The 23,005-nt window shown below is 35.8% G+C and overlaps 1 long non-coding RNA gene across 1 annotated transcript in view; it reads right to left on the bottom strand.

Annotated features, from left to right (window-relative positions):
• Positions 1 to 23,005, bottom strand: part of LINC02008 (long intergenic non-protein coding RNA 2008) — a 477,534-nt gene that overhangs the window by 247,985 nt on the left and 206,544 nt on the right. Inside the window, exon 3 of the long non-coding RNA NR_147146.1 lies at positions 13,237 to 13,362. This is a non-coding gene — a long non-coding RNA (long intergenic non-protein coding RNA 2008). The remainder of the gene's footprint in view (positions 1 to 13,236; positions 13,363 to 23,005) is intronic.

The raw sequence follows: 23,005 nt of genomic DNA, 5'->3' as shown, positions 1-23,005 counted from the left end.
AAAAGAATAAAATAATGTATTTTGCAGCTATGTTGTAGATGGAACTGGAGGCTATTATCCTAAGTTGAATAATTTGGAAACAGAAAGAAAAATGTCTCAAGTTCTCACTTTTAAGTGGGAACTAAATAATAGGTACACACAGACATACAGAGTAGAAAAATAGACATTGAAGACTACAAAAGGTGAGAAGGTGGAAGGAGGATAAGAGCTGAAAAACTATCCTTTGGGTACACTGAAAGCTTTGACTTCACACCATGCAATATATGTGAGAAAGCTGCGCTTGTACCCCCCAAATTATATTTTTTAAATCAAAAATTAAAATACAAAAATAATTAAGAATAAAAATGAAATTAATAGTCAACAATAACTCAATTTTATACTTTATATGTGTAACTCCCAACTTTAATCTGAGCTCCAGAATCCCATTCGTAAAGGTCTGCTCAGTATTGCTCCCTTGATCCTTGGCAACACCTGTAATTCCGTATGTCCATCAGTAAGCTCATTATCTTCTCTTTAAAAACATGCTGCTCTTGGCGGGCACGGTGGCTCATGCCTGTAATCCCAGCACTTTGGGAGGTGAGGAGGGCAGATCATGAGGTCAGGAGATCAAGACCATCCTGGCTAACACAGTGAAACCCCATCTCTACTAAAAATACAAAAAAAATTGCCAGGCGTGGTGGCAAGTGCCTGTAGTCCCAGCTACTCGGGAGGCAGAGGCAGGAGAATCACTTGAACCTGGGAGGTGGAGGTTGCAGTGAGCCAAGATCATGCCACTGCACTCCAGCCTGGGCGACAGAGCAAGACTCTATCAAAAGAAAAAAAAAAAATGCTGCTCTTATTATAAACTTCCATGGTGAGGTCCTGAGAAACTTTTCATGTTCTCAAGTTGAAAGCTTCTAATTATCTTCAAATTTTCATTTTCTTCATGTTTTGAGACCGAATTATTAAGCACAGGTGCCTCACTCTACAACTAAGATATCTCTTGAATGTGAGTTCTTATCACATTTTACGTAAATTATTGCAAAACACAGCTGCCTTTAGTTTTTTTCTCTTCTCCCAAAAGGCCTCAATAAAACAGAGATGATTTTTTCATCTCCATTTAAAAACAAAAGAAAAAAACATTTTTGGAGAAAAGTCATACATACATACATACACACACACACACACACACACACACACGCACACATACACTATTTCATGAATTTCTAGTATTCATTCCTAACTCTATAAATATCCTATAGAATCATTTACAATGTAACTCTGACTTCTAATTTTAAAGTGTATTATTCTTTGATTCTACCCTTTTATAGACTCTCAGGGATCTTTGGCATGCACACCAGGCTGTAGTAAAACAAGACTAACTCCATTGTCAGTGTACTGGAATATCTCTCCCTTTCCCTTACTTGCTCTGATAACATTGAATTCATTCTTGCAGGCCCACCTCGGTTTTTTGTCCTCAAGAATTCCTCTTGTCCCTTCATCAGCCCTAATCTTCCTATTGTTTATAACCAATTTGTATCATTTGTTTGTGTACATATATCTGTTTATAATATATGTTTACCTGTGAGGAATAGATTGTGTATTGCTCAATTTTGTATTTCCTGAGTGGTCCTAGCCCAAGTACTTAGATCACAATGATTAATACTCAGAATGTGTTTGTTCTAGATAGATGCAAATAATTAAGGATATAATCTTATTAGTTCTAAAATGTAAAAAAAAATTGCAGCTGATAATGACCGTAGCATATTTTCAAGAAGTGGAAGGGTCTGAGATTTTAATCTGAATTAATTTATAGTTTAATGAGGGGGATACATTCTGAGAAATGAGTCATTAAGTGATTTTGTCATTGCGTAAACATCATAGAGTACTTATACAATCTAGATGGTATAGCCTACTACGCGCCCAGGCTACTTGGGATAGCCTATTGCTCCTAGGCTACAAACTGTACAGCATTTTACTATACTGGATGATGTAGGCAATTCTAATACAATGAAAAGTATTTGTGTATCTAAACATAAAAAGGTACAGTAAGAAATATGATGTAAAAGATAAAAAATGATACTGTTGTATAGGGCACTTATCACGAATGAAGCTTGCAGGGCTGGAATTTGCTCTGGGTGGGTCAGTGAGTGAGTGGTGAGTGACTATGAGGGCTTAGGAAATTACTACACACTGCTATAGACTTTATAAACACTGTACACTTAGACTATACTACATTTATTGTAAAAAATGATTCCTTCAATAACAGCATTAACCTTAGCATATGGTAACATCTTTAATTTATAAACTATTTTTTAACTTTTTGATTCTTGTAATAACACTTAGCTTTAAGAAATTGTTCAGATGTACAAATATATTGTATTTATTTATACCTTTAATCTGTAATCTTTTTTCTATTGTTAATTTTTTAAATGAAAAAAATTTTTTTAAAAACAAAGACAAAACACACACATTAGCCTAGGCCTACACAAAGTCAGGATCATCAATACCACTGTCTCTTACCTCCACCTCTTGTCCCATTGGAAGATCTTCAGGGGTAACAACACGCATGGAGCTGTCATCTCCTATGATAACAATGGCTCTTCTGGAAAGCCTCCAGAAGAGGTTACACAGTTTGTTTTTTTTTTATAAGTAGAAAGAGTACATTCTAAAATAATGATAAAATGTATAATATTGTAAATACATAAACCAGTAACATAGTTGTTTATTATCATTATTGTTATGTACTGTGCATAGTTGTATGTGCCATACATTAACATGACTGGCAGTGCAGTAGGTTTGTTTACATCAATATCATCACAAACACATGAGTAATGCATTGTGCTACAGAGTGACTAGGCTACAAGAATTTTTCAGCTCCATTACAATCTTACGGACCACCTTTGTATATGTGGTCTGTTGTTGGCCGAAACACTGTTACACTGTACACAACCATATTTGCAAGCTAACAAATTAGCATGCAAATGTTTCATGTAAGCCAGAAGACTCCTTCATATACAAAGGACTTTATTACTCACATCAATAACCATAATCAGAGCACCAATATTTGCACCAGTTCTCCAAACCACAATATCCACAGAGCAACACAAAAACGGCCAGGTGATACTGCACCTTCATTGGTTTGTGTTAAAGGTGAGAAACCCCGAGTTTAAGGAGCCCCAATTGTTTATAATGGACAGAGGGTTTGCCTATATTTTCCCCAAAGACAATATATCTTTATTATTCTGTTGGGAAAGAAATCTTTTCTGTCTCTGACAGAGACATGACTTCTATCCTCCAAGGCTGTTTATAAATATTCTTGAAAACCTAATCTAGAACAAAGGTAATCAGTGACTCTGCTCAGAAGATGTGCAGGAAAGCAAGAAACATGAAAATTTTCTCTCAATACCTATTTAAATTCATAAGATTCTGATGCAGGCATAAAGGACAATTACTATAGAGGAAAACTGAAGGAAGTCCTTGGAGTACACGATTAGAACTATGATTCAGTCACTCAGTTCAATTAATACTGATCAAATTCCTACTCTGGACAGACACTAATCAAAATTCTGGTGACACAGCAGTGAACAAAACATTTCTGCCTTCTTAAAACTTACATTTTACAAAGAGGAGCCTAGAAAATTAACACATAAAATGTATATACTTACATTAGGCAATGATAAAATTTATGGAAAAAAAAAAGCAGGCTAAAGGGACACAAAGTAAAAGATTTCTAGATTGGGTGGCTAGTGGTGAACTCTGATTAAAAACCCTAACTTAGTAAATATGAAGCTACGTAGCTATGTGGGAGAAGAGTATTTTAAACAGAAGGACTAGGTTTGAGGCCTAGAAGGAGAGTTTACTTGACAAATTTGAGGAATATTAAGAAGGCCATGCAACTGTAGCACATTGAGCATGGAGGCCAGGGAATAGTAAAAAGTGATGTCAGGAATTTGGAGTGGGGAGATAACGTGTTACCAAAACACCAGGAGTTTGGTCTAGGACCTGCTGGTCACTGCACAGAAAGCCAATCACTGAGACAACTATTATTGTCAAAGAAGTCTCTAATTGGGTGCTGTAGCTGAGGAGATGGGAGATCAGTGTCAAATCCACCTCCCTGACTGACTAAAATGAGAGATTTATACAGCAGGAAAGAAATGTAATAATGTGTAGGAAAACAGGAACTAGGGAGGGGTGAGGAACCAATCATGATGAATGAGGGGTCTGACATCATTGTCCGAATGTGATGATCTGGTGAGTTTTAGTTCTTTGATACTTTCTTTGAGAGGCTCAGTTGAGAGGCCCAAGGGTGCTGAGGAAGGATGTCAGGTGAAGCAAAGGTAAGTTTCAAGCTTTAAGAAATTGAACAGAAAGGCCAATTTCTATGTCCAAAAAAACTGTCTATGGGACTACATTGGGTCAGTTTCAAATGTAAGGTCTTTATAGGCCACTGCAAGCACTATGGAATTTATACTGACATGGGAAGCCATTGGATTATTTGGAGCAGAAGACTAAAAAAGGCTAGATGCAGTGGCTAACACCTGTAATCCCAAGCACTTTGGGATTGGCAGGCAGATCACTTGAGTTCAGGAGTTCAAGACCGGCCTGGCCAACATGGCAAAACCCATCTCTTCTAAAGTTATGAAAATCAGCTGGATGTGGTGGTGGGCACCTGTAATCTCAGCTACTCTAGAGGCTGAGGCAGGAGAATCACTTGAACCTGGGAAGCAGAGTTTGCAGTGAGCTGAGATCACACCATTGCACTCTAGCCTTGGGGACGGAGTGAGACTCTGTCTCAAATTTAAAAAAAAGAAAAAAGAAAAATACTGAAAAAATATAAAAACAATCAGCCATCAATTTTCAGTCTTTGAAGTGGGTTGAACTAGGCTAAATGGTGAATGTGCTGGAAACTAGAAAACCAGTTAGGAATTGGCTGCAAGAATCCATGTGAAACTTGATGGCAGTTTAGATTAGGACGTTTGTAGTATATACAGATTTAAAATACGTATTGAAAATTGACCTGGCAAGATATCCCAGATGGGAGAAAATAAAGGGGAGTCACCTTCATTCCATGATTTCCAGTTTAATCCATTATAGGCAAGAAACAACCAGTCAGGAAGATACTACAAAATCACCTACATTCACCATATTCCTATACTCTGCTACTATATAGTTTTAAAATATATATATTTTCAGTATTATCTCAAGTTCAATATTTTTAATTAAATTGGTTATGATCATCAAAGTATCTAGAAAGCTTACAGCAAATTCTGTTAAATGCAGGATGTTCTTTATTCTAATTTTTATGTGGAAATGTATAAATATTTCAGCCCAAGTGTTCTCCTATAAATCATCTTTTTTGTTTCATTAAAAGTAATATTTTTTGACAAATATTTTTGCAAGGCAAAATTTGTCAAATAGGTTATCATTATTTATAATTCTTTGGCTATTTTACTGAATTCAGAAACTGAAAAATTATAGGCCTTCTCAACTTAATCTCATTTTTGTACTGGATATAGGTTTATCCTAATAAAACAGAAACTCTATCAAAATATTTTTCCAACAAGTTGAGATATTCTAAAGCAAAATTATAGAATTTCAAGGTCACAAATAATTCTAAAATTATAATGAATACCTAGCAGAGAAAGCACAGATTGCTACATGAGGAGAGGTTTAAAAAAAAAAAAAATCAGCTTTCCACAAACATGTCGTAACTCAGTTATTCTGTGAATGTATAAAAATAATTATTTCACAGCTGCAATTTCTATTTCGATTGGTAGGTATCTTGTCTGTGTCAGCTCAGGTCCTCTGAGAAGCAGAAGCCAAAATAGTATAGATGTGCAAGAGAATTATTGGGAAACACCAATGAAGGACAAAAGGCAAATATTAACGGAAGGCAGGGTGAGCTTTCAGACCACACCTGTGAAAGTCAGGTGTTACAGAAGAAGGAATGGGAAGAAAGAGCTGAAGTGTATAATGCAGTTCTGAGATACTTTCATCCAGGCCATTGGGGAATCCTCCAGCAAATATTAACCAATAGAGTTGTCTGGTATTGAGCACAAATTGTCTGGCTGTAGTACCACTGCCATGCTAAGACATTGGCTGGAAGAGGTTGGGGGGAAACATGGCTGCAGCATTCATCTCACAGTGGATCTGAAGAAGTATAGATTCAACTCTGACCCTTATGGCAGGTTCTCTCGAGGGGAAAGAGCAACGTTCCCCATGACAGTCATGGCCTCTGAGAGGAATTAACTGATAATATTTTTGAAACATCAGGTAACATTGACATAAAGCCTCCATTATTTAACTCTTTTCAAAGATTTTTTTCTGCTAATGAAGTCAACCCAGTAACAGTTAAAGCTTCACTTTTTATCTGAACCAAGAAAATTTAGCATCAACAAGTAACAAAATTAATTTAGAAGAACAGTCTTTCAACTAAATGAAATACCATGCTTCAGAAATGATGAGTAAACACAGCCTACACAGCTGCATGTTTTAAATCGTCATCTCCAGGCGCATTCTTCTGAAATAACTATTTTTTGAAGGAGAATCTTACACTTTAACAGATTCATCTTCGCGTTGTCATGTGGACACCATACTCCTCATATTGGATTGCAAATGTTGAGATGCATTTTGCGCAAGTTAATTTTTCATCATCAGAGCTTCTTTTTCTTGCATTGTAAAAATTCACTTTTTTCTTATTACTTTCTTATGGCAAATGAGATTATTACAAAATGAAAAGTATAACTAAAATTAATATTAATAGGTATAGATTCATACCTTCATAGATTTTGGTGACAGCAATCAGATTATTCTCTACACGACTATAACATGACCACTCAGCCTATCTAAATAAAAATATGGCAAAGGCTGGAAGTACATGGTGAATGTCTCACAAGCCCATCTTAGTTTATTTTAATGCAACAATGTAATAATAATAATAATGTATTGTTTAAAAAATGAACAATTCAGCAAAAGTCCTAATTCAGAAAACAATTCAGGAAAAATCCTAAAACACAGTACACTTAGACAACAGGCATAAACCAAGACCATCTGTGGTGGACTGACACTCTAGGAGCCACTAGTATTTTCTAGACATGATATTCATATACTCAATAGTAATTAAGGATAATTTTGAACACTGCCCATAGGAAAGGAGAAGTTAAGCACGAAAAGCAATGCTAGAAAGCTTTGAACCAAGACTTACTTAGAAAAGAAAAGGGGAAGTCAATCAGAATAGTCTATGTAAGTTTGAAAGAATTTTAAGAATGAATAGTGTGTTAAGGTTGCAGATATGTGGGGTCTGGAGCCAAACATTCCTAGGTTTAAACGCTGCCCTCTTTCTATATGACACTGGAGAAATTGAATTTACCTCCCCACACTTTTTTATATTCAACTTGATATGGTGTGGCTGTGTCCCCACCCAAATATCACCTTGAATTGTAATAATCCCCATGTGTCAAAGAGGGAGCCAGGTGGAGATAATTGAATCATAGGGATGGTTTCCTCCATGCTGTTCTCATGGTAGTGATTAAGTCTCATAAGATCTGATGGTTTTATAAGTGGGAGTTCCCCTGCACAAGCTCTCTTGCCTGTAGCCGTGTAAGACGTGATTTTGCTCCTCATTCACCTTTTGCCATGATTATGAGGCCTCCCCATCCATGTGGAACTGTAAGTCAGTTAAACCCAATTCCCCTATAAATCACTGTCTCCGTTATGTCTTTATTAGCAGCATGAGAACAGACTAATAAACAACTATTATGAATATTAATATAAATACATAACTCCTCTTATAATAATTGTAGCTCTAGAAAGTATTAAGATTCCTAAATGCAGTCTTATATGTCTGGGGTACCAGAAGTTATGAAATGGAATTGGAAACCTTGGCATTTAAAAAAATTAAGACAAGTTTTGATTTAGATACTGCTGAAGCACAGAATCTCTTTTATTTCTCTTTCTCCAATAAAAGTGCTAATGCAAGCAAAAGAAGCTATTAGCATCATTAAGGAGTAATATAGTACGATTGCCATGAGAAATCTAAAACAAAACTAACAAACTGATATGATTTGGATCTGTGTCCCCAATCCAAATCTCATGTAGACTGTAATCCCCAGTGTTGGAGATGGGGCCTGGTGGGAGGTGATTGGCTTATGGGGATGGATTTCCCCATTGGTGCTGTTCTCCTGATAATGAGTGAGTTCTCATGAGATTAGGTCATTTAAAAGTGTGTGGCACCTCCTGACCCTCTTTCCTCCTGCTCTAGCCATATGAAGTGCTGGCTCTCTCTTCACCTTCCACCATGATTATAGGTTTCCTAAGGCTTCCTCAAAAGCCAAGCAGATGCCACCATCATGCTTCATGTATAGCCTGTGGATCCATGAGCCAATTAAACCCCTTTTCGTTACAAATTACCTAGTCTCAGATATTTGTTTACAGCAGTGCAAGAGTGGGCTAATCCACAGACAAGTGTCTTTCATCCAGTAAGTCACTTTCGGTGAGTTATAGAACACCTGATCACTGTGAAAGAATTCTAAATTCTATCCTTATAAATATTCCACATCTTCTAGTGTGTAGTATTAATTTTTCTGAGTCCTGTAACAAAATCTATTTTGGCAAGACCTTCTCAGGATAATGCAATGCAATATCATATGGATCATTCAGCCTGAATAATAATTTCTCAACTGATATCTGCCGCAGCCAGCCTTTCACATAACAATGCATCTTGTCCAGCCTCATGCTCCACTGGCTTTCAAATGTCTTGCACTACTGGCTCTCTGAATTTAGCTGTTGTATCTCTAGAGTTCAGGAAATTCACAGAGGACATGACTTTTTGCATAAGATTACTTCTTCTTTAAACTGACTCAAGTAAAACTGTGCTCCCGAGGTTCTCATCAAGCAAGTATGTTTTGCTGCCATTAGCACACTGATGTTTAAACTTCATAGGAGTAAAAACAAGAGTAATAGCTAAGTTTGTTTAGATCTTACTTTGTGTCAGTCACTGACTTAAATATCGACCTTCCTCATCTCACTATTTTGAACATACTTTACATAAGTGAACAGAAGTTAAAGAGGGGAAGTAATTTGGAACAGTTCATGGGTTACTAAGCTGTGATCCTGGATCAGAGGAATCCCGTTCTTACTTCACATTTTTTTTCTCAGCACCAGACTTGCCACCCCTCATGTTTTGTCCATTTGTCCAACATCTAATGAAAATATTTTCTCAACATACTAAATAAGAAAAACATTAATTTAAAAAATTAGTGATTTATAATCTTAAAGGAGGCAGATTATGAAATTGAAGAAAAAACTAGATTGAGACTTTAGAAGTATGGGAGATAGCTAGAATTTAGCCATTGACCTGCTAAGTGAATTACCTCACCTATTTATATAACTTTTCACAACTGTAAAGTAAAAAATTGTATTAAATGATAAAAACTTATGAATGTCCAAATGTCCAGCATCCTTACCAATACATAAATGATATTGAAGGTCTATGTTTGATATTATATGGAACATGGTAATGTATTAGCTGTAAACATTTACTCACCTTGCTGTCACTTTAGATCATGTGCTTTCCCTTGAGGCAACTCATTTAAACTTCACAGCAGCAGCAGGGAAAACAATATAATAGTCATTTTGTGATTGTGAACATTACATAATCTGCCCAGTGTCAGACAACTAGCTCAGAGTATAGATATGAATTTAACATTAATGTCCCAAAAGATAAGATGTTTTCAATGTGGTATAGACACATGAGAAATATTGAACTTTATAATGCACAAATATGGAGACTTGTTGTCATGTCAATTTACAACTGGCTGTTGTACAAATCTGAATGAGATTTGGAAGTGGAAGTGAAAGCAATCTCCATGTTTACATTTAAGGGTTAGTGTAAGAACTGTTTCTCAACATTTTTTTAAATCATTGCCTTCCATATAAGTCTTTCAAATATTTTCCCCTAATTTCCTCTCCCTCCTTTTGAAATTAAATACTAAGTAACAAGATTTTGTCAAGTAGAGTTACGCCACTGAAGACCAAGAATCATGTTCATAGGAATTTTTCCCCACCCCCCACAAAACCAATTTTTGTCCCCTTGGAGGTGACATATCACCCCGACTGTTATAGGTCAACTGATACCACCATTGATATAGGGTCATATTAGCACTGCCGCTGATACTGGCTTAACCTGTTGCCTGAGGCACCAGTTGTGCCTGCAATTCTAGCTTCTGCAACATTTCCTCTATCACCTTCTACAAATCCTGGACCAGGTATGTATACAGCTCCACTGATGAAGGCACTGGCACGATCTGCCTGTTACCCATATCATCAAAGTTGCAAGAGGTGAGACAGAGGCATACAGGCTCCAGTTCAATCTTTTGGATTTCTGTCCATTCTCCCAAATTACAGCTTGTCATTGTGATACGGACAGGAGGCAAGGAAATACTGAGTAGATGAGGGTGGTTCCCCAGCAAAGGCCCCACCTTCAAACCTGGAAACCCACAGGCCTAAATGGAAAGAGGCATTCCTGTTTTCACTCCCAAATTTTGCCTTTTCCAACACCACTCTGGCCCACCACTCCCAGTCTTGTAGCCATAAAAATCCGAAACCCTAAGCTCCATGAACGGAAGAGCGGCAGAGAGGCAGAGCAGCAGAGTGACAGAGCAGCACAGCAGAGAAGGAGAAGGAGCATTTGAACGTCCAGAGGAGTTTGGCTAGGGTTGGAGAGGAAATCAGCTGTGGAACAGCCCAATTCTGGGGAAAGATCATCTTCCCACTCCATCTCCTTTCCAGTTCCTCATCCATCCCACTGATAGCCACCTCCATCACTCAATAAAATCCCCACATTCACTATCCTTCAAATCCATGTGACCTGATCCTTCCTGGATGCTGGACAAAGGACCTCGGTACCAAGAGGGAAAGGTGTAAAAGGTTGTCACCTTGACTCTCCACTGAACTGGTTAAACACTTAGCTGTCCACGAATGGCAACTGCTAAAAGAACATTAATTGTAACACACTCCTAGACGCCACTGTGGGACTGGAGCCCAAAAGTGCTTGCCCTGGCTCCTACCTGTCTGCATCTCCCCTCCATAAAGGGTTTGAGCACATGGCAGCCCAAGCAGGTTCCACGAGTGGGTCAGAGAACTCTCCCATTTCAGTTGCTCTCCTTCACATCATCTTTCTTCTCTATTGCTGGCCCTGTTGACTTCAGGTCCAACACAAGAAGCAGGAATAACTGCCTAAATAGGACTGCAAAACCAGTTTTCACAATTGGATAAGGTCAATTACCACCATAAATTTCTTACTGCATATTACTCAGTTTGATTTTTTTCTCTGATAGAATACTACTTGATAAATACACAGTAATTATTTTATAGTTTTCAAATTTATCAACTTAAATGTGTTGACATAAATGTAAATATACAGTTCTCCTCATTCCGTTCTCTTTTTTTATTTCCTATCCTCTCTTTTAGAATGAAATCCTCAAAACAAATAAGTAAATAAATAGTAAAAAAAAGATAGAAAAGAAAATTATTGTATACACATAGTCTCACTTTTTCCTTCATGCTATTATATCCTATTTCTTTCAATATTTGATGCATGGTTTCAATGTCATTTACGCATTCAAAATGATCTAGTGAAGGAACATTCTTTGATACACATGTTCTTTCTAATTACACCATTTGTCAACAGTGCTTGTAAAATTACTCTTTCATCTCTCACTTAATTGTTTACATAAAAGTATTTTAAATTAAATGGATCTAAATTTGTATTACTTCTCATTGAATAGTAATGTAACTTATTTCCTGATTTGTTTTTCTTTCTTAGACTCTTGGGACACAACAGTTGGATGATACATTCATTTATTCTAATATTTAACTGTTTTCTTAAATCATTCATAATCTTCAAGATGGCTCAATTTTTACAACAAAACAACAATAATAAATATAAAAATTAAGAATAAAAATCATAAGAAGAAATTAAAAAGACTAGGCATTTCATAGGAAGCTTTTTGAAAAGTAAGACAAGATCAAAATAGTTGAGCAAATTAGAAAGTATTTTTTTATTTCTATGAAAAAATCAGTCTTACATGGAGAAAACAATAAGCATCTGTCCAATAATAACTCAGTCTCAGATTGAGAATCTCTGTCCAGACATTGTGTTTGTTGAATGAAAAAATGTATAAGATAAGCTTTTCACATACCTTGTGCTTTCATACAGTTTGAATATGTAATCATAAATTTAAATATATTAACTGCATGCATTTAAATATCTAATATCAAAATAAATGCATCTGTGTTCATTGCAAACCACAGACATAGTCAAGCTCCTATGAAACTACTATGAATTCTATCATTTGGTACATTGTCTAAAATTGGCAAAAAACACTGAAAACATCCCTCAAAATCTTGTATGTGTATAAAATAGATACTCTTAACATTTTTAATATGGTTTAATTTTACCAAAGTTTTCAATACTAACTAAAATGTTCTACTGTTTCTCTGAGTAAAAAATTTAAAACATATCATTTCAAAAGAATTATGTTTTTAGAAAATTGGTCATTATAGATAATTTCTGCCTATTTTTAATTATGGCACCATTGTGTCAATAAGCTATGTTTAGAACATTTACATTCAAACCAAGAATCCAATAATATGTAAAATGTGTGTTTAAGCTTTGTGCTTATTTGAATTATTGTCCCTTTGATGACAGATATTTCAGCAGCTACAACATACAAATATTAAGATATTTAGGAAAGACATTTAGGAAAAAATGTTAGCACGTTATTGTTGCTACTTGACTCATTGAAAAAAAAATTCCCATTGACATAACTCTAAAGGGAAATCCATTTGTGGCAAAAGAAAAAAAAAAACCTTTAGGAAACCCATTTGGGATTTGTTATATGAAATTAAATTAAGTCACATTTTAAATTTTCTAAAATTTGCTCTAAATACATATCAACAGTTGTAGTATTTCTCTCTACAATTCTATTCTAAAATTACATCCCACTTGAAGTGTGAATTCTCTACATTTCTTCCATATATATCCTAAGAGTCATTATTCTATCTTTTCTCAACATGAGTAACTCAAATATTTCGAATACTTTTTTCATAATTCCATATAGACATATTAAATCAGATGTCATATTAAGGATTAAAAGTGTGGTCAGCCCTATATATTCTTTTTCGCTAGCACAGAGGAGATTAGTACAGAATTGCACTGAGAGAGCTTCAGGGAGTCGCAAGCCAGATACTCACCAGGAATAGCTTCTAAGAGAGTACCACACGCTGTGAGCAAAGGCAGGGAGCAGCTGAATGCTTTTCCATATGACCAAGAGTGGCTTATTATGACAATGACAGCCAGAATATATGAGATCCCGTGACCTGCACAAAAAGACCCAAGATTTGATACAGTGTGGGCCAATGAATCAGGGAATAGATGGAAACAACCACACATGCACACACACACACACACACACGCAAACACATAGAAATGTAAATGCAAAAGTATGATTTTCATTGATTTTAAGTTTAGTTTTGTTTTGTTTAAAATATAATTAGAAATAAATGTACATATCAAATAAAAATATCTGACACCTAGTTCTAAATGCATATTTAGTCAAACTAAATGTAAGGTCAGCCAATGACTTGACTCTCTTCATTTCTTCTCATGCCTCACTCAAGAGAAAGTAGATATTCCAGTTACTGTGGCTATATAAGAAATTACCCCCAAAATTAATGGCATAGAATAACAAATTATGGTACTCAGGGACTCCTAGGACCAGGAATTTGGACAGGGCACAACAGGGATGCTTTGTCTTTATTCCACGTTGGCTGGGCCCTCAGGTGGTATACTCAAAAGCTTTGTTCACTCATATGTTTGGTGGATGACGGTGGCTGGCTGGCACCTCAGTTTCTCTCTGTGGTCTATCATCATGGGCTAGCTTGGGCTTCGTGAGAGTATGGTGGTTTGGTTCCCAGTGCAAGTTTCACAGGAAAGAATCCTGTGGATCTTTTATTCCTTTTATTACCTAGTTTTATAAGTCACATAGCACCACTCTTGCTGTACTCTCTTGATGAGAGCAATTATGTTTCCATCCAGATGCATTTAAAGAAAATACAGACGTCGATTCTCAGTGAGAGAAGTGAGGAGTCACACTGTTAGAAGAACATGTGGGGTGGGAGATGGTGTTGCAGTTATTTAGATGAATAAAATCTGCCATGACAGGCAAGAGGCACAACATAAAGACTAAAATTAGAAATGGTCCTTCTTTTAGAGAGTCTCTCCAAATGCAATCTTCTATCTTTTTCTTTCTGTTCACTACACTTGTTCAAACAGCAAAATGATTCATTTACATATTTTAATTACTTTACTTGGTTGACTCCCTGCTATTTGAAGAAGTGTATTTTTAATCGACTAAAAGAAGGTTAAGTTCTAGTTTTAGACTTTATATCATGCAATATTTATGAATAAGTGAGTCAGATGTTTGGTGAGACAGTGATGGGGCTATGGTCAAATCATGTCTTTTAAAAGGAATTCAGATTTTTGAGGTTTTAGATATTTAATTTAAAGTGAAAGACTAGAAGACCAATTTGTCAGGATAAGCACGATTTGTGAGAGAGAACACGGAATGTATGCAGCTTTGGGCTGAGGGACAGCTTTGATTTTTGTAAAATTATGAAGATATGTTCTTCTAATCTGCCCAGAGATAATCTATAAATTCTTATTCCCCTTTCTTTTCAAAGAATATCTCATCTTCTTGATGTTTATGCTCACACAGTACCTTCTGGGGGGCATAAACATCATTGAGATGTTTTGCAATTTTTACATACATGTATCACAGCAGAGATAGGAAGATAAATAATGAGATATTTTGTAGAGGGACAATGACAAATCTGTGGTGTGTTCTATACAGAAGAACTCTGTTTGAGACCAGAAGCCCATTCACATGTATCAATCCTCTGCTCAACTGTTTCAGAGACATTGAAGCAGGCAGTCCTGCTTGCTTCAGAGGCAACTGTAGGTGAAATCAGAAGGTTCCAGGAATTATGATAGCTCACAGCATCATGAATATTTGGGAGTAGATTTCATTGCAAAGAGAGTATAGAGAGCAGAGTCAAGGGTTTATGGGCAGATACTTAAACAATTCATACATTTAGGGAAGTATAAAAAGATAAACTACATTCATGAATTGTTTATTCAAATATACTATTTCATGGCTTAAGGTAACCTTTGGCTCACAACAAAACTGCTTGACTCTAAAGAAGCTATGTTCTATGTTGACAACCCTGAAAATACAATGTTTAAAAGCAAACACACAAAAATACAACTATATATTTTGTGTGATTACCTCTCAGTTACATATTTATGCCAGGGAAAGAGAACAAAAGTAATTAAGTAAAATACCTCATCCTTACTCCTTATTTGCTTATGACCAGGATAATTTGCCAACCTTATTTATGACAAAGGTTTACTAACCAGTGCACTGATGGAATGTATTCATGCCTAAGTTCTTAGTGATCTAATATTATCCAAATGAACTGTACATAATTTCATTGTAAAAGAAAGTTTAATATAGGTTTTTTAATCATTTTAAATTTTACTCTTTCCCAACCTAATATACTTTATTGAGAGAAAGCAAACAAATAGAATAAGTCAAGATTTTACTCTTAATTCCACTTTCTCTTCTGCTGCTTATAGAGCCTCACCTAAACAATAAGAACAACAAAGGGGGCTCTGAACATTACTTGGCAAAAAATATAAAAATAAAATAAAATGAAAGAACATGAAAAGTCCACTACTCCAACAATGTCAAATTTCTCTTGTGATGGCAGGTAACTTAAATCATGAAAAGACACTGAGCAGTAAGGGAAGAATCGCTGCTCTGGTTTCTTTTTTAAAAGAAAAATATGACCTGCTCAACTCTAACAGCTGTCAAGCATTTCATCACCAGTCTTTGCAGCATTCCTTCAAGATGTGTACCCTGTATAGTTAAAAACAAAAACAAAAACAAAAACAAAAACACTGCCACTAATGGCTAAGAAAAACTTCAAAACAGAACAAGATAGATTAACATTCCTCATCATGTTTTTGAATGTGTAGCCAAAAACAAAACAAAACAAAAATCAGACAGGTATGCCCATATTCAAATCAGATTTTGATGAAAGTGGGAATATACATCTTATGAATAGATAAAAGGCAGACAGATGAGATCGATTAGATGATAGGTAGACAGTAGATGGGTAATGGAAGATGATATCTTAGCCTGATCCCTAAAATTATTTTGTGGAACTAAAGTACACTTTCAAATAAGTACACTACATGATGAACTTATACTACTTATTCATCCTCAAAGGGTGGATCAAAAGGATATTTTTGGACTTAACAAGGTCAAATTTATGCACTCTGAAAACACAGAAATTTAAAATTTTAAAAGATATTTGTATTTTTGTGAAGAAGGGTGTGCTGTTGCTGTTAGCTGTACTAATAAGTACTATATAGGTTTATTACATAATTCATACCTTTGGCCAAAAACTACTAATGTAAAACAAAAGTCAAGGAGACTTTTCTAAATGGGAATTTTCATGATTAATTTGAAGGGTTTTTAAAATTAATAATGGAACAGTGATTATTGTAGTGAGATGGATAGAGCTTGTTTTTAAAGTCATTAGTGTTATACGGCGTGAGTTTCTCGATACCTGTAAAGGTTTATTTTTTTTAAGTGAGCAAAGCTTGAACACGATGTACACAAAAATATGCCTGTTTAAATGAACCAGCAGAATTTCAGGGCAGAGTTGTGCATAAATACATCCTCAAAGATATATATATATATATATATATACTATTCGGAAGCCATTTACTTTGAGAGAAGCTGGTAATGATGACAAAGAAAAGGAGCCCCTAATAGTGTGATAATCTCTTTTTTCACTTGTTTTCCCATCCTGTTATCCTTGTCCTTGGTATCATCTTTCCCAGCCTTTTATAGCCGTCATCACATCTTTCTTCCTTATGATTTTCCAGTCCATTTTTGTGTGCCTTTGTTATGTCACAGTTTCTCCTACACTCTAATTTAACGAGCCACAAGCAACAAGAAATAGAAAAGAAACCATTCAGCTTTTGAACTTTACTTAGCATACTCTAAATCGGCAGGTCTTAGGCAATTAACAATAAAACTTGTTTAAAAAAACAAATTTTCAGAGGTTTAACCATTGAGTTAGTTATATTATTTAAAGTATTGCTAAGATAGGAAATGGTGATATGTCAGAGTGCACACAATACTGAAGGAGCAATATTTTGGGAATTACATGGCCGTAGTCAATGTAAAAATGGCCAAGCACCAGTAAGCTTTGTGCCTGTTTGTTCTGCTATTTTAGAGAATGATTTAGACTCTGCTTTAACCTGAGTTTTTCTATGGTAGTTGTTCATGATTTTAAAAGACATCCACGTTTACTTTCTTAGTGTGTGCACAGAACAAACAAACATTTAGGTGTTTACACTGCACAGCTCAAATCCATGGCTCTACAATTGTCAATATCCCAAATCCATTAGGCAAATGCCTAGAAAAGTATAGAAAGTAAGCAATTAGAAGAAGTATCAACAAACAAGCGCAGAACTCCTTAAAAAGATGCTCATTTTGACCTTCCAGTTTACTATACAATATTGAGGTGGCATACAGAGCAATGAATAAACCAGTGTTCTCTGAAGGGGAACAAGTATTCCTTTAATTCATCTTCTGAAGCCTGATTAGTTACTATTACTAGGTTCTATAAACAATGTCATTTCTGCCAATGCCCTTTACATATGCAACACATTAGCCAAGGATAGGATTTTAAAATTCTAAATTTCTATTTAATCTCTGCCTATCTACCCTTAGGTTTCTGAATACTTTATTTTGCCAACCTCCTAAGTATTCTCCTGCTCCTGGCCACCCAAATTTTCTATTGCTTCAGCCTTCTCCACCATTTCAAAACTTACATGGCTTATGAAGTATTTTCTCAGGACATGTGAACATAGAGATAATGTGAGCAGAGGACATAAAGGTTGATTGAGCATATATCAAGGCCTACTATTTGTTTGGTAATGTATATGCATCGTCTCATTTATACCTCACATGAATCCTTCAAGAGAAATATTATCCTCAGTTCCCAGATAAAGAATCAAGAGACTAAGTAACAGGTACAATATTGGAACTAGTTAGGGATAGATGCAGAACCACAAGTCCCAGTAGAGTCCGTTTCTAAAGACTCTGCAATAACAAACTGAAAAACCAATGAGTACCTTTGTAATATGATGTGCCCTTCTTTGACTAAATTGGTACACTTTCTGGCAGCCAAACCAAAACAGCACAGGTGGCATCGAACTCCAGAAAAATCTCACTACTTATCGCTGATGAGAATTTCTGCTTTGCATACGTCACCTCACCTTTGCTTGTATTTAGCCTGGGAAGATCCTACCATCTCATTTCTGTCTGCTGAGTGACAGAAATGGCCAGCTTTCCTCCTTGTTTCCTGTCAGTGGACTCTACTATTGTATTTTCTAGAGCCAAAGTGGTTGTTATGGGATGAATTTTTGTCTTCTCTCAATTTTTATGTTGAAGTCCTAACCCCCATCACCTCAGAATGTTACTCCAGTTGGATAAAGGGACTTTACAGAGGTAGTTAAGTTAAACAAAGCCCTTAGGGTTTGCATTGATGCAACCTTACTGGTGTCTTTATGAGAAGTAGATATTAGGATATACAGAAAGGCACCTGAAAAATATATGCACAGAGGAAAGGCCACCTGAGGACACAAGAGAAGCCAAGGAGAGAAGCCTCAGAAGAAGCTAAATCTGCTGACACCTTGATTTTGGACTTCTAGCCTCCAGAGCTGTGAGAAGATAAATTTATGTTGGTTAAGCCATCTGGTCTGTGGTACCTCTGGCAGTCTTAGCAAAATAATACTGTGGCTTTAAAACATGATGCCTATACAGGTGTAAAGAAGAGAGAAAAAGTGGAAGGCTTCCCTGTGAACTTGTCATTGAACAGGTCCTCCTCTCAAGAGCTTTGTGTCAAGTTGAAAACATTTGTGTGTGACTAAGATAATAACAACTGATAATATACTAATGGATCATCTCTGGCATTTTAAAAACAGGTTCCTGGAAATATTAATATATCTTAACATTGAGGAAAGTCACTAAAAATTTATTTACAGGCACTCATCCTGGACAAGGAGCGGAAAAATATTGTGAAAAGCAAGTACTTCTCGTATTTAATCATTCTGTCTAGACATCTTCATAAAAATGCTGAAAGGAGGTAGGATTCAACATTCTCTTATGATTTACACATCTGGCAAAGCTCTATGTCCATGAAATTCAGAGGAAAATGGAAAAGACAAATTTATAACTTAAAAAATTCCCAAATGACAATATGTGTTAGAAGAGTATCATTGTGTTCCCTGCGAAGCAGGCACTAAGGCAAGGCCTTTGGTGTAGCTATTCTATTAGGAAGTGATTCAGGAAAACACACAGGAGGAAGTGGAGAAAAGGAGGCATGTAGGTAGAAAAACCAATAAAGCATGTGTTAAGTGAACTCCACTTCACAATGCCATAGTCTCATGAGTTGCCGGAAAAACTGAGACATTTATTCATAGATCCCCACCAGTGAGTATAAACCAATGCCTATGTGTGTATGTAAATTGTAACTCATTATTTCATTGGCCAGCACCGTGGCCTGGGTCCTTAAATTTGAGTTTTAGGGGAGTGAGGGCATGTGTATGTAGTTTTATTTGAAATAAAATATACACAAGGTAGTAAACAAATTATCACATATGTCACAATAAATGTATATAAAATGAAGACCTATGAAACCAGAACCTATAGGAAGAAGGTGACTGGGGTCAGCACCACAGAAACATCTTGTTACCTCTACCCAATCACTACTCCCATAAAGGTAAACTACTAAGCCGATTTCCAACATCACAGATAAGTTTTGCCTATTTATTTTTGAAGAGTATTATAAGTGCAATTATAAATATATACTTTTAATTTTCTTGCTTTTTTCTGTCACCATCATTTTTATGAGATTCATCTGTAGTATTACATGTAGGTATAGTTCATTTACCCCCATTGCAGCTTAGAATTTAATTGTGTGAATGCAATAGTTTATTCATCATTATTTCTGGGAAAAGCATTGTTATCACAGAACTGCAGTGTTTCTTGGGAAACTTAAATTTTATACTTTTGAACAAAATTAATATATTGTTTTCCTGGCTACTTACAAACAAAAGAAACAGCCACAATTTCTTCTAAACTAGAACTATTCTGCTTTTTTTTTCACCTATATTGTAATAATCCCTAAACAGAAATACATGTTTCGCTTTTATATGTAGGTATGTGTATGTTTGACAAACATCGTTTACTAAATTACACATTTAATTGATAAATTTCAGCAAGTCATTCATTCAACGTATAAACATTTTTGATCACCTACTGTGTGTAAGCTATTTTGCTGTATACTGGAGCCATGATGAACAAAAGGAGACCTAGTTCTTGCTCACCCTCAATTACTTTACAATTAGAGAGCCACAAAGAAATGTAAAATAATAGTTATGACTCAGCATGGTGACTGACACAAGAAATGATGTACAGGTTTCCCTGAGTGAATGAAGAAGGAAGCCTAATCCAGATTTGTTTGGTGCAGGAAATCCTGGAAGAAGATGATAAGTTTAGAGTTATTTAAGCAAGTCAGGATGTGTCCTAGCAAATAAAAATGTGTTCAGGTCCTGAGGTTAAAAAAAAAAAATTGACGTGTTGGGGGAAATTAGAGGACTTCTTTTTGTTTGGAGTCGTTTAGTTTCCTCATCTGTAAAATAAAGGGAATAGAATGAGTGAGCAGTGAGCATTCTTCTAGCTCTGACATTTATATAAACTATTGGTCTCCTATTGGTCTGGTCTCTAGAACTACAATGAACACTTACAGAAAAAGATCTCAATTTGATTGTTTAACCTCCTGCAATGCTAATGAAGTGATGTGATAGCCACAGTGGCCCAGCCACTGTTGTTGAATGATCTATGGAACAAAAAATAAATAAATCTCCATAAAAAGTTTCTTACATGTCTTTTACTTACCTCAGTTTTGAATATCTTACACTTTAGAACCATGTAATTTCCTCAAACATTTTTGACATTAAAAACCAATTCATTGAAACCATAAAATCCATTTATTTATCTTGCTACCAAATTACAGGGGGTTGGGGAGGGAAGACAGAAATGAAAATAAGGAAATCCTCACCAGAATGCTTGGGATAACTTATAGACTCTCTCATTTAAATTTTCAGTTCATAACAGAAACCAAAACATGTTTCATTTCATAAATATTAACACTACAAGAGACTGACTCATTAACCAAAGAAAGAACTTTTAAAAGAACCACCTCTAACGCTTTGAACTATTTTGTGAACAATTTCTGATCACAAAGGGCCGATCCATATAACAACAGCCCTTTCTCTTCACCTTGCTGATACAGTTTGGTGGTGTGTCCCAACTCAAACCTCATGTTGAACTGTTATTCCCAATGTTGGAGGTGGGGCCTGATGGGAGGTAATTATATCATGGGAGTGGTTTCTAATGGGTTAGCGCCATCCCCCTAGTGTTGTTTCATGATTGAGTTCTCACGAGATCTGGTTGTTTAAAACCGTGCATCACCTCCCCTTTAGCTCTCTCTCCTGTAGCCATGTGAAGATGTGCTTGCTTCGTCTTTTGCCATGATGGTAAGTTTCCTGAGGCCTCCCCAGCCATGCCTCCCGTACATCCTGCAAAACTGTGAGTCCATTAAACTTTTCTGTATAAACTAACCAGTCTCAGGTAGCTCTGTAGAGAAATGTGAGAATGGACTAATACACTTGCCAACACACTCACATACACTTAGGAAAACTTATTAATTTTCCATGGGTGTTGCTAAATACGATGTGCTGTAAGTCTGTATATTGAATTAAAGTTTGTAAACAGCCTATGAAAGAAACAGAAACATCACAGCTTTTCTGCTTAAATTTGTTGAAATTTCTTTGTTCATATAATTGTTAGACTGTGCAGACTCCTAGTATGTCTAAAAGGCATATTAGTGTCCTAATAAACTTTTCTTCTGCACATAAAATATCAGCATTCTTTATTTCTTTTATGTGCATGTCTGGTACATGTGTCATGAAAATATATAGGCACATTAAACTTGTGACTCTATAAATCTCCTTTAAAAGGGATTTTCACTTTCAATATAGATAAATACAATTATTTCATTTTTCCGATGATAAAATAAACATACAATCACTGCACGTGCTTAAAAATTTGTAGCACAGACAGAATAGCAGCTTTAAATTTATCAACAACTACAACATGCATAAATTACTACAATTAATATTTGGTTTGCTATCTTTCACTTATTTACTTCATTTTTAGCAGAATTGAGATGTGTGGCAGCTGAGAATTGTGTTCTGCAGCATGCAGTAAAAACCGATTACAAGGGCTTAATTAACGAGAAGGTGTTTTCTTCCCAAATGTTTTCTTTTTTTTTTCCACTATTGTTTTTGTTTGTTTTAGCACAATAAGCAATACAGAGACAGGCAGTCCATGGCTGCTATAGTACCTACAGGGACCATGCCCTTTGTTTTTCCTACTCCTGCATCCTTACATTACAGCTGTATCTTCATGGCAACCTCATACTGGCAAGATATGCTCCCTGTATTACACCCAGAAAGAAGAAGGAAGCATCAAAGAGGATGGAACAGTACTTAGGTCAATAAAACAAAAGTTTCCCAGAAATCCATAGCAGAATATCATTTGGCCACCTGTATCTTAAAGAAATTTGGGCCAGGATTGTGTTTAGGTGGCATTTCTCCCCCTCAAATATCAGTGCAAGTAAAATGGAATAAATTAGATATTTGGGAGGCAACTGATAATGTCTTCCACAAGATTATATATACAGCAAATATGATTTGCTGGTTTCATTACACTTGAGTTATCCCATACACAAGTTTACATAATTGAAACATTTGCAT

Source organism: Homo sapiens, chromosome 3 (genome assembly GCF_000001405.40).
Source record: "Homo sapiens chromosome 3, GRCh38.p14 Primary Assembly".
NCBI lineage: Eukaryota > Metazoa > Chordata > Mammalia > Primates > Hominidae > Homo > Homo sapiens.
The sequence above is the reverse complement of the archived record's forward strand: the minus strand, read 5'-3'. Positions and strand labels throughout refer to the sequence as shown.